Below are 22,479 nucleotides of genomic sequence, written 5' to 3'. Positions count from 1 at the left end.
CTCCGCCTCCTGGGTTCAGGCAATTCTCCTGCCTCAGCCTCCCAAGTAGCTGGGACTACAGGCATGTGCCACCATGCCCAGCTAATTTTTCTATTTTTGGTAGAGACAGGGTTTCACCATGTTGGCCAGGATTGTCTCGATCTCTTGACCTTGTGATCCGCGCGCCTCGGCCTCTCCAAGTTCTGGGATTACAGGCGTGAGCCCCCGCGTCCAGCCAATTTTTGTATTTTTAGTAGAGACAGGTTTTTGCCATGTTGGCCAGGCTGGTCTCGAACTCCTTGCCTCAAGTGATCTGCCCGCCTCGCCAGTGGGGTTTTGAGAAACCCAGGCATCTGCTGCATCCCTTAACCACCCACATACACTGCCCGTGACTGGCTGTTGGATCCATTATGTTTGTTTTAGGTGCCAGGAACAGAAACCACTCTAGACAGGATTTTATAAACAAGTATTAAATTCCTTTGAAGGAGAAAGGATTTAATACTTCAATAATTGGCTGCTGACAAAATTTGTGTAAGGGCTGAAGTGAGCCATCTGCTGGACCCCAGAACCCCACTGCAGAACTGCTGCCACTGAGACAGCACCTGCCTCTTCCACAGTCAGTGGTGGGAGAGGGTGCGGAGTGGGGGTTGGTGGTGGTCAATAAGGTGCCCTGGAACTATTGAGATACAGAACACCGCATCATAGGTGCAAGCCAGGGATCAGCAGGCCCTTGCCACTGCCTCTATAACTATCTCCTGTCTCCCACTGTGCTGGTGGCACAATGCTGGAACACTGCTACAGAAAATCTTAACACCTCCAAGACAATCTTGACAGTAGCAAGAGTCAAAAGATGGAAGATGGCCCCGGCCCACCTCTGCCATCCATGTCTCATGAAAGTACATCTAACTGGTAGAACTTAATTCCCTGTTAGTATCTTTGCTGCAAAGAGATCTGAGAAATAGAGTTTTTAACTCTCCAACTAGGCAATCTAGAAGGCACCCTAGAGGGAGGTGGGAAAGAATGCTGGGTCTCCATCAGCCATATCCAGCCCAGTTATGTGGGTCCAATAACCATTCCACCCCACCCCTCTCTCCTGGATTAGCAACCACGCAATCTGGGGACTGAACATCAGCTTAAGAGGTAGTCTTTACTGGTCTAATACTAACATCTCCCATCGTTCAGAAATGGGCACATGACCCAATTCTGGCCAATGAGACTTAAGGAGAGGGTTGCTGGAAGGGTATGGAAAACTTTGCTGCTTCCTTTTTCTTAAGAGGAAAGGAAGTCCAGTTCCTCTTCCCCTCCAGTGTGAACAGAAAAGCATGTCATCTTGTGACCATGAAATGAACTGGCCTTAACGTGCCTCCCAAAAGCCCACCTCCTAATACCATCATACTGGGGGTTAGGATTTTAACATGAATTTTGGAGGAACACAAACATTCAGTCTATAGCATTCTGCCTCCGTCCCCATCCCCCGCCAAATTCACATCCTTCTCACATGCAAAATACATTCATTCCTTACATTCCAACAGCCCCAAAAGCCTTAACTCATTCCAGCATTAACTCTGAAGTCTAAAATCCAAAGTTTTATTATCTAAGTGTCATCTAAGTCAGATATGGCTGAGACTCAAGGTGTGATGCATCCTGGGGCAAATTGTTCTCCAGCGGTGAGCCTGTGAAATCAAGCAAGTTATCTGCTTCCAAAATACAATGGTGAGACAGGCATAGGATAGACCATTCCAAAAGGGAGAAATAGGAAAGAAGAAAGGAATAGCAGATCCAAATTACATCCAAACTACAAGGCAAACTCCATGAGATCTTAAGGCTCAAGAAAAATCATTTTTAGTTCATTAAATGCTCTGCTTCCAGGCCCACTGAGGCAGCCTTCCAGATCCACAATGGTGGTGGTCCCACCCTCTGTACCCTCTGGGGTGGTGGTCCTGTCCCTCCAGCTCTATCCCGCAGAAGTCATGTTCCCAGGGCTCTGGGTAGCCCCACACCAACAGCTCTGGGCAGCTCTTCCTCCATGGCTTTGGACAGAGGCCCTCTAACCTGCTGAATGCAAGGCAATGCTCCCGACTTTTGAAAGCAAGGAGATAGCCTTGATGATCTCTGAATTGCCTTCAGGGTCATTCTTCCCTTGTCTTGAAGAGTTTGCACTCTGGTCTTGTCCTGAAAAATCCAAGAAGTCAGACAGCTTTCCTTCCTCATCCCTTCCCATCTCCTTCCCCTTCAATTCAAGACGGCAGTTTTCCTGCTGGGATGGCTGATTACGTTCATCACCATTACAGTCTCCTTATGGAGACTATGGTGTTTTCTCCCAAACATTCTTTCTCATTCTTTGCAATATGGATAGGCTGAAAATTTTTCAAATCTTTACGTTTTGCTTCCTATTCGCTTAAAAGTCACATCTTTAACTCATTTCTTTCTGCTTCTATTTTACTATAAGCAGTCAGGAGGAGCCAAGCCACAGCTTCAACACTTTGCTTAGAAATAGCTTTAGCTAAATATTCCGTTTCATTGCTCACAAGTTCTACCTCCTATAAAACACTAGAACGTGGACATAATTCAGCCAAGTTCTTTGCCATTTTATAACAACATGGCCTTTTTTCCATTGTCCAATAATATCTTCCTCATTTCCTCATCCAAATGGCCTTTTTCATCTGTATTTCTACCAACACTCTGTTCAGGATTCCTTAGTTATTATCAGGTTCCTGATTTTAAAAATTAGAAGTTTTCTTTACAGTTCTACTGCACTCCAGCCTGGGTGACAAAGTGAGACCCTGTCTCAAAAGAAAGAAAAAGGACACTAATCTCATTCATGAGGGCTCTACCCCCATGAACCCCGTGACATAATCACTTCCCAAAGGCCCACCTCCCAACACCATCACCTGGAGGTTGGGATTTCAACATATGAATGTTGGGGAGATACAAAGTCACCTTGATCTTGGATTTCTCAGCCCCTAAAACTGTAAGAGACAAAGTTCTGTTGTTTATAAACCACCCAGTCTATGGTATTGCTATGGCAGCCAAAAAGGACTAAAACACTTCCTCAGAACCACATGCCATTCTTTTGCAGCACCCACTACCAATGTATACTTTCCATTAACCAGTGTGATTATTTGGTCATTATCTGAATCCTCCACTACACTGTAAGCCTCATAATGCAGAGATTGGTAGTGTCTTTTTGCTGATCACTAAATCCCCTGGGTCTAGCCTAGCCAATAGCAGGTGACCAGTAATTATCTTTAAATGAACTCCTTACCTTTAAGTCATTATAATAAATAATGGTGGCTTATGCTTTTAAGAAAGTCTGTGTCCCCCAATGCCATAGCTGGCTTGTCCATATGTAGGCATCTGACTAGAACTTGGAAATTTTCTCTCTCTCCCTGTCTCTGTGCCATAAGGCCTGTAACTTGAGAGCTGTGGCCCCGATTGCTAGCTACTTATCAATCTCTATTCTTCCTTAGTAAGAGAACTCCAGTTTTAGCTCAGCACATTACCGCTACGGATGAAGACAACATATCCAGCTGCCCTTGCAGCCAGGGGTGGCCGTGTGACCAATTTCTAGTCAATGACATGCAAGGGGAAGTGTTATACAAAACTTCTGAGATAGCATCCTCAAAAGGGGAGGGGTCATATCCTTTGCCTTTCCATTTCTCCACCTCTTTCCAGGGTGGAATTTGGATGAGACGGCTGGCACTTCAGCAGCAATCCTGAATAGGAGGTGACCCTGAGAATGAAAACTCTGCTGGAAAATGATGGAGCGGCAAGATAGAAAGGGCCTATGCCACTAGTGACCATGGAGCAGCCATCCCAGCCATGGACTTCCTACCTCGACTGTTTTTTTTTTTAAAGAGGAAACACTTTAAGTTGTATGAAGTCTCTGTTGTCAGGTTTCCCTTATTTAAAGCCAAATATCATCGCTGTTGACAGTCATGTTCCTGACATGTAGAGATAATCCCTCTGCTGAGTGAGGGCAGAGAAAAGAAATCTCTCAACTTACTTTCCCCTGAGGCTCCGCTTCACCTCAGTCACGGGAATAGCCAAGCATCCCCATTTTCATTAAGCTAATTCACTTTGGCTTTCTGTCACTTGCAAACAAAAGTCTTGACTAATACATCAAGCCTAGTCTGAAAGTGAAGACACGGAGAGACGTTCAAGCTCTGTTACAATTTAAAATGCAATCAAACAGCAAACATTTATTGAGCACTTATAATGCGTTGTGCACTGTTTTAAGGACCTCACCTAACACCATCTCTCTTCACTCTTCCAACACCCCTGTGAATTAGGTGACATTATGTCCGTTTTACAGATTAGGAAACAGGCACAGACAGGTGACTGGCCCAAGGTCACACATCTAATAAAATAGTGCAATTTTAACCCAGGCAAGGTACAGAACTATAGGGGATGACCCAGTATCAAGTTTCCCTTTTGTTTTAGTTTTGGTTCCCTGATAGCAAGTCTGAGACTTGAGTGTAAGTCGTTTATGTGGGAGGTGATCCCTGGAAGCAGAAGTAAGGGGTGGGAGGAATGGGACAGAGGGTGTGTTAGTGAAGTCAGTTGTAGCAATAGGGCTGAGTACTTCTGGTCTCTGAGAAGGTTCCAGAAAGATCTGAATGGTCTAGAACACCTCTCTGAATCGTCCACCTGTGACAGCACAAGACTGGCATTTACTCACCGGCTCCTGCCCCCATTAGTGAATGGCCTGGCACCTCTGGAATGGGCAGAGCTCCCACAGGGATGCCCCATCTATCAAATGGGGATGGAGATAACAGACTCGTCTCATAAAGCTGTTAGGTTCCATGAGTTAATATATGTAAAGCGCATCAAACCATGCTGGGCACATGGAGAGCACTCAGTAATGTATGCTATGTATGACCTGAGGGAAGAGCGTTCCATGCACAGGGAACAGCAAATGTAAAGGGTCTGAGGCCAGGACACATTCGCTGTGGAAGAGGCACAGCAAGGAGGCCAGTGTGACTAGAGTTGACTCCGGGGCTTGAGGAGTGGAAGGTCAGAAGGTGTGAGCCACTGCATCCAGCCAGGGAAGGTTTCTTCACTCTTAAAAAGAGGCTCGAAGGGATGTCCTAACTTCCACTTGTGGACATTCGCATGTAATGATGTGATGTTTTGAGCTACAGTAGCCATCTTGGGACCATGAGGGGCACACCGCAGGATAACAGAACACCAAGGATGATGGCACAAAAGGATAGACAGAACCAGGGTCTTTTTTTTCTGAGAGAGTCTCACTCTCTCACCCAGGCTGTAGTGCAACGGCATGATCTCAGCTCACTGCAACCTCTGCCTCTCGGTTTCAAGCAATTCTCCTGTCTCAGCCTCTGGAGTAACTGGGACTACAGGCGCGCGCCACCATGCCTGCCTAATTTTTGTACTTTTGGTAGAGACAGGGTTTCACTATGTTGGCTAGGCTGGTCTCGAACTCCTGGCCTCAAGTGATTCGCCTGCCTCAGCCTTCCAAAGTGCTGGGATTACAGGTGTGAGCCACCGGGCCCAGCCAGAACTGGAGTCTTTGGTCACATTGTTCAACTGCCTCTTTACCAACCTTGGACATACCTACCTCCAAACATTTTATTATGTGAGAAAACAAACCTTCTTATTGCTTAAGCCATTTTGAATTGGGCCATAGATATCTTAACACAGAGAATTTGATACCAGGAAATGAGGCCTCCCTGGGTACACCATGATGATAGAATCAGGCCAGAGCTCCACTTTTCCACTCTAGAAACTGTTATCCTGCCATTCTTACTTCCTGTAATGAGGAAGATGTTTTAGAAGGGATAACTTCCCTCTTGATGAAATTCTCTAATTCTGAATAATTCTGGGGCTGAGGTGTGGGTGTCAGTTCTACTTCTTGAAATAAAGTATCATTTAGGTGCGCACGGGAATTATGTTTCGAAAGGGAAAGGCTGGAGTCTTGGTGTCAGTGTTCTAAGGTTTTGTGAGAGACTAAGAACCCAAAATAAATGATCTTCAACAGCAAAATGGATGTTATGCAATTCACAGAGCACTATGAGCACTCTCTCAATTCACACAACTTTGAGTGATGGGCAGCATGACTTCATTTTACAGACGGGGTTCAGAAAGTGTCAGCAACTGGTGGAAGGCAAAGTAGAAACTCCTGGCTCCCTCCTTCGTCTCCAGTTTTCTCCAGCTGGCAGGGTAAGTATGCATTTCTCCATGTTCGTGCCATTCAGGTTGAGAAGGAAGACAAGCAAACCAGACATGCTTGTCTTCGACCGAGTCTGGGATCGTCCACCTTCCTGCTTGGAGTTGGTGGTTAAGTGGCCCCACAGTTTGGACTCGTGTGACCTGACTTTCATTTCAGCTGACCTTGAACAGCGGGTCTATAACTGCACCTACTTCCAGTAGTGTTGTAATGACACAAACAGACAGTGTGGAACTTGAAGGCAGGGCCCACCCATTGTCAGCGCGACTCCTGAGGGCTCCGTGTGACAGTCACTGTTGCTGAACCAAGGCAGCCAACGGTGGGGTAGAAGGCGGACTCTGGAGCCAGACCGTCTGGATTTGAACGCGGATTCGGCCACTTACTAGTTCCGTGATCTTGGGTACATCACTTAAACCTGTGTCTCAGTCTCCTCTTCTGTAAAATGGGAATAACAGTCATACCTTCCTTGCAGGGTTGTTTTGAGGTTCAGATACGTTAATACACGTGCAAAATGTTCGGAACGACTCCAGACACAGCCGGCGCCAGACTGGAAGTGGAACCGCTGGTGGGGATCATAACCTCGCTGGCTAGGAACCCCAGCAGCGGGGCAGCAGCGCACCGCGGGCTTTGCCGACTCACCCTGGCTGGGCAGGTCCGCCGCGCTCTCCCCCGCCCCCGCCCCCGCGGCCTAAGTCGGCCCGGCCGGTGCGTCACCCGCGCCCCTCCCGCCCCGCGACCTGCAAACTCACCCTGAGTCAGCCCGCCCGGGCGTTTCCACTCCCCGGACGCCGCGCGGCGCAGGGGAGGCGAGAGGCGCCCCCCGGTGGAGAGCCTGAGCCCCGCGCGAGTCTGGCGGCACCTGGCGAGCGGAGCCGGAGTCGGGCTGGGGACCGCGGGGTCGAGGCCGGACCGCGGCGGGGTCGGGGGAGAAACGCGCGCTGCCCTGGCACGGGCCCCCCCCCCCGGCCGCGCGGAATGGTATGGCCCGGCCGGAGTTAAGGCCGGGGGGAGGCGGCGAGTCCCGCGGCGGCGGCGACGATGGGGCTGCGTGCAGGAGGAACGCTGGGCAGGGCCGGCGCGGGTCGGGGGGCGCCCGAGGGGCCCGGGCCGAGCGGCGGCGCGCAGGGCGGCAGCATCCACTCGGGCCGCATCGCCGCGGTGCACAACGTGCCGCTGAGCGTGCTCATCCGGCCGCTGCCGTCCGTGTTGGACCCCGCCAAGGTGCAGAGCCTCGTGGACACGATCCGGGTGAGGCCTCGGGGAGTCCAGCCAACCGGAGGGAGGGCTTCGGAGGAGGGAGGTTGCCGGAGGAGGGAGGTCGCTGCGATGGACGCGAGACGGACTGGTTCCGGGCCCAGCCGGAGCTCAGCCTCTGCTGTGTGACCTTGAGCAAGTAGCTGGGCCTCTCTGGGCCTCTGTTTCCTCACTTGAGCAAGGAGGGAATTGGGCGAGATAATTAAAGTAGTGATGATAACGCTTATAACGCTAGTGCTTGCAGTGGTCCAGGAACTGCAGGAAGTCCCTCAGTTTCCTATGCCAACCCTAGGAGGTAGATAGTGGCTCTTTTGCAGACGAGAACTGAGGCAGGGAAGATTTCAGCGGCTTGACTAAGATCAGGCGCTTAAAAAGTGACACGGCTGGAATTCACACCCAGGCAGCCTGGGCCCCACTGCCCAGCACATGGCCACCGCACTACCCGGAGATAAGCCGTGGGCTCTCATGGCTGTGACAGTCAGTGACAGTGGGACTAGGTGTGTCATATCTGCTGGGAGGCCCTTGTCTGAATGGGAAGTGGGAGAGGTCAAGGGTCAGCTCCACCACTGAGGAAGGGTGTTAAGAATACCGGAGTGATTCTGGCAGGAACTTGGGGGCCCCGCAAGAACAGGTGTCAGGTTAGGCCTACATAACGTTGTGTCCCCTTCCCCCGACCCTTGGAAGGTGAGCACATGAGATCCCTAAGCCCCACCCAGCACCTCTACAGCCACCCCCGATAACTTTCAGTCCTAGTATTTACACTAGTGTCCTCACTGCCTGGAGCCACTTCCCCAGACAACCACAGGGCCTGCTCCCCTGCCTGGTTCAGCTCTCTGCCTCCTTGATCACCCTTGGTCAGAGTCACTGGCCTCTCTAGCTCTCCCCTTAGCCCGAGATGTTTTTCAGGATACCACTTATGTCCACCAGAAATTATATTATACATCTATTTGTGTTGCATTTTATTTTCTGTCTTCCTGACCTCACGTGCACTCCACAAGGGCGAGGACCTCGTCCCATCTTATCTGTTGCCACAATAGTAGCACGGCGCCTGGCTGAGATGGGAAGGGATCTGCCATGCATGCCCTGTCCCACCACTGGGCTTTTTCTCCCGTTGAGAACCTCTTCTATCTCTGCCTTGTCGTTTCTCACTCTTTCTCGGTCTTCCTGTCTCAGTGTCAGGATCTTCCCTGACCATCCCTACCGGGTTAGGAGCTTCTGTGGGCCTGCAGCCACCTGTGTGCCCACCTGCATAGCTCTGATCTCACTGGCTTTTTTTTTTTTTTTTTAAGACGTTGTCTGGGTCTGTCACCCTGGCTGGAGTGCAGTGGCACGATCTTGGCTCACTGCAACCTCCGCCTCCCGGGTTCAAGCCATTCTCCTGCCTCAGCCTCCCAAGTAGCTGGGATTACAGGCGCCCACCACCACGCCTGGCTAATTTTTGTATTTTTAGTAGAGATGGGGTTTCACCCTGTTGGCCAGGCTGGTCTGAAACTCCAGACCTCAAGCGATCTGCCCACCTCGGCCTCCCAAAGTGCTGGGATTACAGCCCACTGGCTTTTAACGTCCTGTCTAGACACCTGCCTTCCGTGCTAGAACCGTAGGCTCTGAGGGCCAGAACCAGCTCTGCCTTTGCTTACATACACCTGTATTAGTTTTCTGGGGCCACTGTAAGTTACCACAAAGTTGATGGCTTAAAACAACACAGGTTTATTTATGGTCAGAAGTCCAAAATGGGTCTTACTGGGCTAACACCAAGCAGGGCTGCACTACTTTCTGTAGGCTCTAGGGGAGAATCCATTTCCTCGCCTTTCCCAGCTTCCAGACGCCACCCACACTGCTTGGCTTATGGCCTCTTCCTCTGTCTTCAAAGCCAGCAACATCAGGCCAAGGCCTTCTCACATCGCATCACTCTGACCTCTTCCTCTACTTCCTCTTCCAGTTTTAAGGACCCTGATAATGGCATTCGACCCATCTAGATAACCTTGGATAATTTCCGCATCTCAGGATCCTTACCTTAATTCTGTCTGCCAAGTCCCTTCTCCCATGTAAGGTAACACATTCAGAAGCATTCGGGCGTGGACATCTTTGGGAGCCATCATTCTGGCCATCCACCATCGTGCCTCCAGTACCCGGCACAAGGCCTGCCTGGCACGGCTGCCCTCCTTAGTGCTCCACTAATGCCCGGTAGGCATCAGCTCACTGACTCTTCATCAGCAGCCCTCTAGGATGTTTTATTCCCAGTTTACAGGTGAGGAATGGTGTTCAGAGGGCTGTGTGCCCCAGCTGCTGTGGAGAGGAGCTGAGATCCAAAGTCAGGTGTGCCAGGTTCCAGAGCTCAGGCTTGTGACTGCTGCACCTTACTGCTGAATAATCATTTGTGGAATCATGAGAGAGAACCCGTGGACCAGCAGCAGGAGGCCTTCCACGCCGCTCACACTTAATGGGGTCTCCCCAGAGTGCTCTACCCTGCACCCGTCCTGCCCCAGACTTTCCCTGTTTAGAGGATGACCTACTCTCCACCTGGCTGTGTGGGCCCCTAACAGGAAGTCAACTTAGATTCTCCCTTTTCTCTTGCCCTTGGATTCACCCCTTCTGCCAGACCCCTTGGGCCTGCCCCGTAAATGTGTCCCAAACCTGTCTACCTCTCCCTGTCCCCACCACACCATCATCCAGACCAGCATCTTCTGCTGAATACCTGCAGAGGCCTCCCCTCTGCCTTCCAGCCCTGTGCCCTGTCCACCCTGCCAAGTCTGTTCTCCTGTGACAACTTTCTAGAACATGCATCAGATCATGTCACCCTCCCCTGTTGCCAACACTCCAGGGCCCACCCACTGCTCTCAGAAGCAGACCTGCACCATCTGGCTCCTGCTGGCCTTTCTGACCATTCCTGGAGCCCTGGAGTCCACTCTAGTGAACTCCTTGCTGTGCCTCCTACACAGTGAACGTGCTCTGGTTTCAAGTCCTTTGCGTTTGCTGTTCCCTTTGCATGGAACGTTCTTCCCTCAGGTCATACACAGCATACATTACTGAGCACTTTCCGTGTGCCAAGCATGGTTTGAAGTGCTTTATATATATTAACCCATTTAACCCAAAAATTCTATGAGATGGATCTGTTATCTCCATCCAATTTGATAGATGGGGCAACTGAGGCACAAAAAGATGAATTGCCCAAGATCACATAGCTGTTAAGCAGCAGAGCTAGATTTGAACCCAGGCAGTTGAGCTCTTAATCGAAACTATTCCACTTCTCTCTTTTTTTTTTTTTTTTGAGATGGATTCTCGTTCCATCGCCGAGGCTGGAGTGCAATGGTGCGATCTCAGCTCACTGCAACCTCCGCCTCCTGGGTTCAAGTGATTCTCCTGCCTCAGCCTCCTGAGTAACTGTGATTACAGGCATACACCACCATGCCCAGCTAATTTTTGTATTTTTAGTAGAGACAGGGTTGTGCCATTTTGGCCAGGCTGGTCTCAAACTCCTGACCTCAGGTGATCCACCCGCCTCGGCCTCCCAAAGTTCTGGGATTACAGGCATGAGCCACCGTGCCCGGCCCCACTTCTCTATCTTTCCAAGTACTCTGCTTCATTCTTACCTCAGAGAGGCCTCGTGGACCCCATCTCTGTCCTGTCACCTGTGTTATTGTCATTATAGCATTTGTCACTCTAATATTTACTTCTTGTTCCATCTGCCCCACTAGACTGGAGCCCCTTGAAGCCAGGGCCTGATTCAGTCACATTCCAGCTGTACCGTATTCCCAGGGTCTACAACAGGGCCAGCTGGATAGTGTGCATGTGGTGTGCTGATACATGTGTGGGAGAAATCCCTGATTTGTAGCATCTGTCCATTTCTCTGGTGTAAATACTCTCCCATGGCTGATTTTCAAGCTACAAGGTGATGTCGAACAGCTCACAAAATTCCTGATAATTAACAGTTGTCTCTCACAGTAGTCCAGTGTGATCACCTTATAAGGAGCTCAGCACAAGTGGACAAAGTCTGCTTTACAAACTCTCAAGCCTTGTACCATGTCCATTGACTCTGTGCCTCTTCTCCCCAGGAGGACCCAGACAGCGTGCCCCCCATCGATGTCCTCTGGATCAAAGGGGCCCAGGGAGGTGACTACTTCTACTCCTTTGGGGGCTGCCACCGCTACGCGGCCTACCAGCAACTGCAGCGAGAGACCATCCCCGCCAAGCTTGTCCAGTCCACTCTCTCAGACCTAAGGGTGTACCTGGGAGCATCCACACCAGACTTGCAGTAGCAGCCTCCTTGGCACCTGCTGCCACCTTCAAGAGCCCAGAAGACACACCTGGCCTCCAGCAGGCTGGGCCATGCAGAAGGGATAGCAGGGGTGCATTCTCTTTGCACCTGGCGAGAGGGTCTGACTCTGGGCACCCCTCTCACCAGCTACAAGGCCTTGGACTCACTGTACAGTGTGGGAGCCCCAGTTCCCACCTCTGTGACAATAGGATCATGGCCTTACCCTTGAAGCATTACCGAGAAGGAGAACAGAGATGGGCTTGAAGAGCCACGTGCTGCCGGCTCCAAATTCCCAAGGACAAGGATCCCTCTGCATTTTTGTCTATGTAACCTCTTATATGGACTACATTCAGCTGCAAGGAAAGGAAAACCTTGATTGCAGTGGTTTAAACAAACAGAAGATTGTTTTTCCACATAGCATGGATTCTGGAGATGGGTGGCTAATGGTATTGGTTCAACAACTCCACGAAGGTAGGGGTCACGTCTTGGATCCTTTTGCCTTAATCTCAGTGCTCGTTACTTCATGGTCCCAAGATGGCTGCTGTATCCCCAAGAATCATGTCTGCGTTCAAGGAAGGAGGGGTGGAGGAAGAGGAAGGGCCAAACTAGCTGGACCCGTCACCTTCTATCAGAAAGTAAAACCTCGTCAGAAGTCTGTTTCCTGCTCTCTCCCTCTGCATATCTTCACTTAGATGCCCTTGGCCCGAGCCAGCTACCATTGCACCTCTAGCTGCAAACAAAGCTAAGACAGCAGGGAACAGAATTGTCATGGCTGAATAGACCAATCGTGTTCCATCTACTGAGACTGGCACACTGCCTCCTGCAATAAAACTGGGATCCCATTACCAAGAGAGAAATGCAGAATTGTGTACCAGTTAGCTTTTGCTGTGTAACAAACCATCCCCAAACTTGGCAGCTAGAAACAAACCCTGTATTTTCCCACAATCCTATGGGTTGGCAATTTGGGCTGGGCTCAACAGGGCAGTTCTGCTGCTCACACCTGGGATCCCTCATGGAGCTAAGGTCAGCTGTTACCTCAGCTGGGCCTGGATGGTCTAGGATAGCCTTACTCACTTGCCTGGCAGGTGACAGGCTGTTGGCTGGAATTGCTTGGTTCTCCTCCATGTGGCCTCTCCAGCAGGCTAGCTCAGGCTTATTCACATGATGGCTTCAGGATTCCAAAGAGAGTGAGAGTAGAAGCTGAAAGACTTCTTGAGTTCTTGGCCTGGAACTGGGACTAGGACAGTGTCACTTCTGCTAAGTTCTTTTGGTCAGAGCAAATCACAAGGCTTTACCCAGATTCAAGGGATGAGAAACAGACTACATGTCTTGATGAGGGGAACCACAAAGAGCTTGTGGCCATTTTTCACCTATCACAAATAATTTTGGATGGGTATTTATTTGGATAAAGGTATTTCCCTCTTCCCCCTTTCTCTCTGTCTCATGGGGCCTCACTCTGCCAAGTTGGAAGGCACTAAGACATTGTCCTGGCCCTCAGGGTCTAGGGGAAGAGGTGTTGGGGCAGGAAGTGAGTCTCTCCATGGGCTGGACCCACTGTAGTAGGAGTGCCTCCTTGTCTGCACTGCTGGTATGGGGTTAGGCCAGGTAGGACATTCCAGAGGGGCTTCTGAAAACCAAGAGTCCCTGGGGAAAGGGAACAGAGTAAGGCAGGCCTTGTTCTCACTGCCCTCTAAGGGAACTTGGTCACTCGGCACTTTTAAGCCTCAGTTTCTCCAGTTCAATAATAAGGACAAGAGCTTTTCCCATGCATTCTCTTTCCCCGGGAAAGTTGACTGAGGTGACCAGTAATAGAATTGAAAAGGGAGAGTGTCTTCAGTGCAATGTGGCATCCTGGATTGGGTCTTGGAACAAAAACAGGACATTAGTGGGAAAATTGGAAATCTGAAAAAAGTCTGAATTTTAGTTAATATACCAATTTCAGTCTCTTGGTTTTGACAGATGTACCATGGTGATGTAAGATGTTGACCTTGGGGTAGGCTGGGTGAAGGGTATACAGGAACTCTTTGTACTATCTCTGCAACTTCTCTGTAAATCTAGTATCATTCCAAAATAAAAGTTTATTTAATTTAAAAAAAAAAAGGGGGGGTGTGCAATTCCTTTAGACCAATGGTTCAGGGTCTCAAGCTTGTTTGCTAAATACCAGATTGCTGGGCCCCACCCCCACTTTCTTTTTTTTTTGAGACAGGGTCATGCCCTGTCACCCAGGCTGGAGTGCAGTGGCACGATCATGACTCACTGCAGCCTTGACCTCCCGGGGCTTAAGTGATCCTCCCACGTCAACCTCCTGAGTAGCTGGGACTACAGGTGCGCCCTTCTCATTTTTTTGTAGAGACAGGGTTTTGCTGTGTTCTCTGGGCTGGTCCTAAACTCCTGGGCACAAGCGATTCTCCCGCCTCAGCTTCCCAAAGTGCTGGGATTACAGACATGGCCACTGCCCCCGGCCCCCCAGAGTTTCTGATTGAGGCGAGTTGGGGCAGGGCCTGATAATTTGCTTTTCTAACAAGTTCCCAGATGTTGCTGATGCTGCTGTTCAGGGACCACATGCTAAGAGCTGCTAATAACTGCGTCAGTTATTTTCAAATACGGTGACTTCCCCACTTCCATCCCCAGTGGAATGAGTCTACTCATTCCCCCCAGCTTGTCTACTCATTAACTGTGTGACCTTGGGCGGTTCTGTCCCTTCCCTGGGGACTTCTTCCAGGCTGTCAAATGGATTGTGTACCCCTAAGGTTTGTAGCGAAGGTGAGGTGCCCCTGTCTTCTGTGAGTAAACTCCTCCTGTGCCCGCTGGGCTGGAATGAGAGTGAAGATGGTCGCCCCCTCCTGAAACAACTTTTCCTTCTTGCAGAGAAGACCCAACCAGACAGCGCTAAGGGCCCTGCCAGGCACTGCGAAGGAGGTGCAGAACAGATTCGGAGTAGAGGGGTACTGCTTGATCATTTAAGGAAGAGGAGCTGGGTTTTAAAGGGTGTAACCTGCTGGTAGCCGGAAGTTGCGTTTCCCTCTTACAGCAGCAGGTGGCGCTGCTCTCCGGCCCCCGCGGCAGGGCCGTCCCTCTGGCCTGCAAGAGCTACAGCTGTGGGAAGGGGCTGGATGCACGCGCAGGGCTGAAAGAGGCGGGATAGTTAACCCGGGTTCAGCCGGGATGAGTCTGGAGTTCAGGTTCTATTTATCAGCTCTTGTTCTGTAACCTTGCGCACATGTCTACCCATTCCTGTCTATACTGGGGGTGCTGGGCCAGAGAATCTCAGGCTCAGCAAAGGTGGTACCTCCTCCAAGAAGCTTCTGGGCTCCTACTGGCTGGGCTACCATGACCTACAGTGTCCCTCCCCAAAAAAACCTCTGCCCCCAGGAACTTGGCTCCAGTGAAAGGCAGTATGTGCCTTCACCGCCCTGGAACCCACCCACTTGACCGTGGTAGATTTAAATTTCCTTTTTTTTTTTTTTTTTGTTTTCATTTCACAAGGCTTTTTGTTGTTGTTGTTTTAGTAGAAATGGGGTTTCACCATGTTGGCCAGGCTGACCTTGAACTCTTGGCCTCAGGTGATCTGTCCGCCTCGGCCTCCCGAGGCACTGGGATTACAGGTGTGAGCCACCATGCCCAGCCATTTCACAAGTTTTATATAAGTATATTTACTTTTTAAAATGTGTTTGTTCGTTTGTTTGTGATGGGGTTTTGCTCTGTTACCAAAGCTGGCACGCAATGTTCTGATTATAGCTCACTGCAACCTCAAACTCCTGGGCTCAAGCCATCCTCCTGCCTCAGCCTCCCGAGTAGCTAGGACTACAGGCACCACCACACCCAGCTAATTTTGTTTTTAACGTTTTATAGAGACCAGGTCTTGCTCTGTTGCCTGGGGTGGTTGGTCTCCAACTCCTGGCCTCAAGTGATCCTCCCGCCTTGGCCTCCCAAAGTATGATATTACAGGCATGAGCCACTGCATTCAGCCATATTTACCGTTTAAACATTAAAATATTAAAATGTTAAATAATTAAATATTAGAAATTTAAAGTATTAGAGGCAAGCGGAAGCCCACCACAAAACCTAGTCCTGATTATTCCTTTGCCCTCTTGGGACAGTTACCTTTATGAATTTGGCATAGAGCCTCCCAGACTCTTATCTAATTTAATAGTAATGAATGTGCGTTTAAGTAAAAAATGTTTTCTTTTTTTGCGCTGTTTTGTGGATTGCTTTTCTCCCTTGGCACTGTGCCCCAGCCGTCCATCCCATTCGTGCGTGCCTGTCTCCCAGTCTCCCTCATTCTGGTCTGTGCCCAAATGTCACTTCTTCAGGGGCCTTCCCAACCATAGCGTCTAAAACAGCCCCCTCCCCCATCATTCCGTCCCTTTATCCAGTTTTATTTTCTTCATGGCATTTGTCACACTCTCCCAAATTTTCTTCTGTGTCTGCTTTTTTTGTTTTTTTTTTTAAGACAGGATCTTGCTCTACCACCCAGGCTGGAGTATGCAGTGGCACCATCGTGGCTCACTGCAGCCTCCAACTTCTGGGTTCAAGCAATCCTCCCACTTAGCCTCCTGAGTAGCTGGGATTACAGGTGTGTGTCACCACACCCAGCTAATTTTTTATTTTTCTTTTGTAGAGATGAGGTCTCACAATGTTTATCAGGCTGATTTTCAACTCCCGGCCTCAAGCAGTCCTCCCATATTGGCCTCCCAAAGTGCTGGGATTACAGGTGTGAGCCACCGTGCCTGGCCAAATGTACGTTCTTAAGGCAGGACTCAATCTGTCTTGTTTATCACTGTAGGTTCAGTGCTAAGAACAGTGCCTAAAAGATAGTAGTGTTAATCAATATCTGTCAAATGAATAAATTCCAGCTGAGTCTATCTCATTCTTTTTCACCGCTGCGTGGTGTTCCAGGCTGTGAATGTAGCCGTTTGTTAGTCGTGATCATGTTCATGGAAGCATGGGGGCTTACAGTTATTTGCGGCTGCGAACGGCCCCCGCCATCACCCTGCTCTTTCAACTGTATACCCAGGAGTGGAGCTGCCTGGCTGATGCATACGCCCATTTCCATCTTCTAAGACCCTGGCAAATTGCTCTCCAAAGTGGTTGTTCCAAGTGCCACCCTCTCCGGTGGAGTTTGGGAGCCTATTTGCCTTCCCTGCACTCCAACCAGTACTTCTTAGCCTTGTTTGGGATCATGAACGTGGTTGAGAACACAAGAAAGCCATGAGTCCTTTCCCCAAAAATACACACACACGCATTTTGGGCCGTTTCTGGGCCTCCCTGTATTTGATGATCTCCTTCCCTGGGGGACCCTGTATCAAATGTTTAGAAGCCTCATTATCTCATGGATGGGAACTGTGAGGCACAGGCAGGTGGCAGTGTGAATGAATGAATGAGTGAATTGATGAAAGAAAGGGCTGTCCTTTTGTAGGAGGCAAAGGAGAGCCTTGAGACCCTGACCTACCCCCAGTCAGAAAAAAAAACCCCACCTATCTGGGTCACTCCAGTCCCGCCCTACCCTGGACCAGAAGGCTCCAAGGACAGGCTGCAATGGGTTCCTGGGCTCAGGCTTGGGCAGCTGCACCTATCACCCCTGGAGAAGGCAGACCAAGCCTGGCACCCAGGGTCAAGGCAGGCAATCAGGGGGAGCCACTGACTTCCCTGGGCTGAAAGAGGGTGGGGTGAAACATCCATCCCGCTTCCCACACAGGCACGCACTATAGGCTACAAAGCACATTTGCGTCCAGCCCCTGACTTAGCACTTCTATGGTACCCGAAGTAGAGACTGCGATTAGGGGAAGGCTGTCATCCTCCGTCGTCATCATCATCATCACTGTAGCTCCCCTACTTTAACTCTCACATTAGCCCCCAGAGGTGGACAGGGCAGAAATGATCTTTCCTGTTGGACAGACGGGTAAACTGAGGACCGAAGCAGCGTAGCCACCTGCCGCAGGGCCCCCGGCTCGTCCACCCGCACCCCGCCGGCCCACGCGCGCCGCCCTCCCTCGCGGCCCCTTCCCCGGGCCTGACCCCCCGGCTCCGCCTGACAGATGACCTCAGCTGCCGCCAATCCATTGGTTCCAGCTCCCGGGGGCGGCGCAGAACAAAGCGCGCTCTGTGGCCGGGCGGTCCCCTCACCCCGCGCGTCCGCCGCCGGGACCCCCCTCCGGAACTGCGAGCGCCGCCCCCCGCCCGACAGCCGTGTAATGTCTTCCAGGCCGCGCGGCCCCTTCCAGAGCCCGAGGGCCGCCCTCGCCTCCCGCAGGGGGCTCCGCGGGGCCGTCCAGGGTGCTCCACCCCCGCTGGCCCCCCCCAGGCAACTCCACCCCCGCTGGCCCCCCCCAGGCAACTCCACCCCCGCTGGCCCCCCCCCACAGGCAACTCCACCCCCGCTGGCCCCCCCCCAGGCAACTCCACCCCCGCTGGCCCCCCCCAGGCAACTTCACCCCCGCTGGCCCCCCACCACAGGCAACTCCACCCCCGCTGGGCCCCCCCCAGGCAACTCCACCCCCGCTGGGCACCCCCCCCCAGGCAACTCCACCCCCGCTGGGCCTCCCCCCCCCAGGCAACTCCACCCCCGCTGGGCCTCCCCCCCCAGGCAACCCCACCCCCGCTGGGCCCCCCCCAGGCAACTCCACCCCCGCTGGGCCTCCCCCCACAGGCAACTCCACCCCCGCTGGGCCCCCCCCAGGCAACTCCACCCCCGCTGGGCACCCCCCCCCAGGCAACTCCACCCCCGCTGGGCCTCCCCCCCCCAGGCAACTCCACCCCCGCTGGGCCTCCCCCCCCAGGCAACTCCACCCCCGCTGGGCCCCCCCCCCAGGCAACTCCACCCCCGCTGGGCCCCCGTCCCAGGCAACCAGATTGGGGGGCACCCCCAGAGGGAGGCTCTGCTGGCTGCCCCCTGTCCCTGCGGAAGCAGCGGGAGGGCAGGGTCCGATGTCCGGGTTTCTATGCCAGGCAGGGATGATGATCCCTGTCACCGGATGATCTTATCCCTGTACCCTCAGCGCCGCCGTCTGCAGTGGAAAATGCTGTTACTGCTCGGAGGTGTTGTTGCTGTTGTCGTCGCTGTTATTGTTATTATTTTGTGGTTGTGCACAGGAGTCACTTTCTTTATTTATTTGACTTTTTTTCGAAACCAGGTCTAGCTCTCTGACCCAGGATGGAGTGCAGTGGTGTGATCACAGCTCATTGCAGTCTCCAACTCCCAGGCTCAAACCATCCTCCAGCCTCAGCCTCCCAAGTAACTGGGACCACAGGCACGTACCACCATGCCTGGCTAATTTTGTAAGTTTTTTGCGGAGACAAACAATGTCTTGTCACGTTGCCCAGGCTAGTCCCGAACCCCTGGGCACAAGTGATCCTCCTGCCTCGACCTCCCAAAGTGCTGGTGTGAGCCACTGCCCCCCCTCTGGGAATCACTTTAGATTCAGACAGATCTGGGTTTGAATTTGTTTGTGTTACTTACTAACTGTGAGACCTTGGAAAGTTAGTTCACCTGTCAGAACAACAAGAGTACCCAACATTTATTGAGCACCTCCTATGTGCCAGACACAGCTCTGTGTTTAAAGGCTTTATTTAGCTCATTTAATCCTCAAGGTAACCTTAGGAGGGAGGAGTTATTCTCCTCATTTTACAGAGGAGGGGACAGAGGCTCCAGCTGCCCTAGAGACAGATTCACCTCTCTGAGCCTCAGTTTTCTCATCTGTAAAAGGGGACAAGCATAGTAACTCCCCGTGGGCCATTCACTCTCATGAGTCTTGCCTCTTTCCCGATGAGGTCGCGGAGGCTGTGAGCAGGTTCCTGGCTGCCCAGAGACATTCAGGGTGGCTCTTCCCCTAAGGCCCTTCATCCTTGGAGTACCCTCCACGAGAGGGCAGCTCCAGTTGGGCTTACCTGGGATGGAGGTATAGGAGGAAGGTCTGCCCTGCAGCTGGAAACCTCCCTCCTAAGGGACAAGCTTGCTGCCCTGGCCTGCCCTTGAGGGTCAGAGGGTGGGGCAGGCAGAGAGAAAAGCTATATCCGGAGAGGGGACTGAGGGGCCACAGTGAGGCTGGGCAGGGCTGGGAGTGACTGCCCTCCACCCTTCACACACACCCCTGGACATTCATTCTGCAAATCAGTACCATTCCAGGCACTGGAGCCATCAGAGTACAAAACAGACGCAAACTTCTGTCCTCTTGAAGTCCACTCTGGGAGACAGGCGATGACACACACAACATATGTATCAAAGGTAAAATGTGATGTCTGGTAGTGATATATGCTCTGAGGGAAAAGCAGGGGAGGGAGGAAGAATGAGCTAGGAAATATTTAGGTAAGGTGGATGGGCCTCTCTGAGAGGGGGCATTGACCTGGGCAATGAGAGGAAAAATGCCCTGTGGGTGTCAGAGGGATGTGTTCCAGGCAGAGGGAACAGCATATGCAAAAGTCCTGAGCTGGAGCCTGCACAGAGTGAGTGTTCAAGAAGCAGCAAGGAGGCCAGTGTGGTGGGGTCAGTGGAGGTGGGAGAAGGGCTGTGGCTGGGCAGGTGACGAGGCTGGAGGGGTGAGGAGGGGTGAGGGTCATCAGCTTGGGAGGGGCCTCATAGCTGGGTGAGGACTTCGGCTTTTTCTCCAAGTGAGCTGGGAGCCTTGTGAGGCTTTGAGCAGAGGAAGGACATGGTCTGGCTCTGGCTGCCGAGTGGAGCAGGAAGAGAAAGAAGGTGAAGGGGATGCTGCTGTCACCAGAGCCCCAGGTGATGCTTGGTGGATTGCACACGGGTAGAAAGAAGTGATCCGGATCAGGACATAACTTGAAAAAGGAGCTATTCCCTGTGCTGAGCTTAGAAACAGGTTTCTGGGCGGGGCGCGGTGGCTCATGCCTGTAATCCCACCACTTTGGGAGGCCAAGACAGGTGGATCACAAGGTCAGGAGTTCAAGACCAGCTTGGCCAAGATGGTGAAATCCCATCTCTACTAAAAATACAAAAATCAGCCGGGAGTGGTGGCGGGCGCCTGTAATCCCAGCTACTTGGGAGGCTGAGGCAGGAGAATTGCTTGAACCCAGGAGGTGAAGGTTGCAGTGAGCCAAGATTGCACCATTGCACTCCAGCTTGGGCAACAGAGCGAGACTCCATCTAAAAAATAAAAATAAAAATAAAACCATGCTTCCTAAAGTCCCATCAATGGCTCAATGACCACCTGCACAATTTGGGCCATTTGGGACAGGAGGGCTTGCCATTACCTCAGGGACCATGGCCCTTGAATTTCTAAATCTATTTGCTTTTGTTTTACTTTAAAAAAAAAAAATAAGGAAACTTGAAATAGCCAGGGTAGATGGAAAATTTGGGCCAGACGCGGTGGCTCACGCCTGTAATCCCAGCACTTTGGGAGGCTGAGATGGGTGGATCACCTGAGGTCAGGAGTTCAAGACCAGCCTGGCCAACACGGTGAAACCCCGTCTCTTCTAAAACTACAGAATAAGCCGGGCATGGTGATGAGCACCCATAATCCCAGCTGCTCGGGTGGCTGAGGCAGGAGAACTGCTTGAACCCAGGAGGTGGAGGTTTCAGTGAGCCAAGATTGTGCCATTGCCCTCCAGCCTGGAGACAGTGAGACTCCATCTCAAAAAAAAAAAAAAATTGTATCATGTGGCACAAATAAAGGTAGCTGTAAATATAAACAACATAAATATAACCTTGTTACTAACTTCCTCCAGATTGGGCTGGTGTTAGAGATACACATCCCCACCAACCCTGACTCTCCTTGCAGGAATCAGGACTGGAAGAGATTGAAAAAGGATTAATCTTGCTTCTGCATGTCCTCACCCTTTTTCATTGTATTTAACAAACAGAAAGTACTTTTGACATGCTGGGCCCTGTTCTCCAATATAAAGTCATTTAATCCTCACAACAAGCCAATAAGACAGGGACAATTATGACCCCCACTTTGCAGATGTAAAAACTGAGGCTCAAAGAGGCAAGGTCCTTGGCCCAGAGTCATACGGCAAGGATGAGGCAGAGCCAGGATTCAGCCTAGGGAGGCCCTCTCTGGAGGCCATTCTGGCAACCATCACATGATTGTCTCTTTTCTTTTAAAAAAAAATTTTTTTTGAGGCAAGGTCTGGCTGTGTCACCTAGGCTGAGGTGGAGTAGTAAGATCACAGCTCATGCAGCCTTGACCTCCTGGGCTCATGTGATCCTCCTGCCTCAGCCCCCTGAGTAGCTAGGACCACAGGTATGTTCCATCATGTCCAGCTTTTTTTTTTTTTTTTTTTTAACAGAGTCTCATTCTGTCGCCCAGGCTGGAGTGCAGTGGTGTGATCTCGGTTCACTGCAACCTCCACCTTTCAGGTTCAAGTGATTCTCCTGCCTCAGCCTCCTAAGTAGTTGGGATTACAGGCACACGCCAACATGCCCAGCTAAATTTTTTGTATTTTTAGTAGAGATGGGGTTTCACCATGTTGGCCAGACTGGTCTCGAACTCCTGACCTCATGATCCACCCACCTTGGCCTTCCAAAGTGCTGGGATTACAGGCTTGAGCCACTGTGCCCGGCCTTAATTTTTTTATTTTTATTTTTATTTCTGTAGAGATGGGGATCTCACTATGTTGCCAATGCTGGTCTTGAACTCCTGGCCTCGAGCAATCCTCCTGCCTTACCCTCCCAAAGCGTTGGGATTACAGATGTGAGCTACCACGCCCAGCCTGTTCTCTCCTGAAGTCATTTCAGTATCACTTTGGGAAGCATGGAACTATTGGAACTAGAAGGGTCTTCAATTTTAATTCAGGAAATATTCATTGTCTGCTAAAATATGTCATATCATATCACCTC

The 22,479-nt window shown here is 51.3% G+C and overlaps 1 protein-coding gene and 1 long non-coding RNA gene across 2 annotated transcripts, besides 1 other annotated feature; one reads left to right on the top strand and one right to left on the bottom strand.

Moving 5' to 3' along the window:
• Nucleotides 1-1,545: 1,545 nt before the first annotated feature.
• On the bottom strand, nt 1,546-7,440 carry LOC107985423 (uncharacterized). The gene is made up of 2 exons (XR_001754452.2): nt 6,919-7,440; nt 1,546-6,604 (listed from the first exon to the last, which is right to left on the bottom strand). It is a non-coding gene; the product is annotated as an uncharacterized LOC107985423 (long non-coding RNA).
• Nucleotides 6,756-7,315: a silencer, noted in NCBI's record as "silent region_12582". NCBI's record gives its function as "represses an Ori minimal core promoter by ATAC-STARR-seq in GM12878 lymphoblastoid cells {active_cell/tissue: GM12878}" and the evidence as "EXISTENCE:reporter gene assay evidence [ECO:0000049][PMID:35858748]".
• On the top strand, nt 7,193-13,778 carry SRXN1 (sulfiredoxin 1). Its single transcript, NM_080725.3, has 2 exons — nt 7,193-7,417; nt 11,476-13,778. Exons 1-2 carry the CDS (start codon nt 7,208-7,210, stop codon nt 11,677-11,679), a joined length of 414 nt encoding a protein of 137 aa, NP_542763.1. The 5' UTR covers nt 7,193-7,207; the 3' UTR covers nt 11,680-13,778.
• The last annotated feature ends 8,701 nt before the right edge of the window (nt 13,779-22,479 follow it).

The sequence above is a fragment of the Homo sapiens genome, chromosome 20 (genome assembly GCF_000001405.40).
Source record: "Homo sapiens chromosome 20, GRCh38.p14 Primary Assembly".
In the NCBI taxonomy this organism is placed as follows: domain Eukaryota; kingdom Metazoa; phylum Chordata; class Mammalia; order Primates; family Hominidae; genus Homo; species Homo sapiens.
Note: the sequence above shows the minus strand (reverse complement) of the source record. Positions and strands in the feature narration are given on the sequence as shown.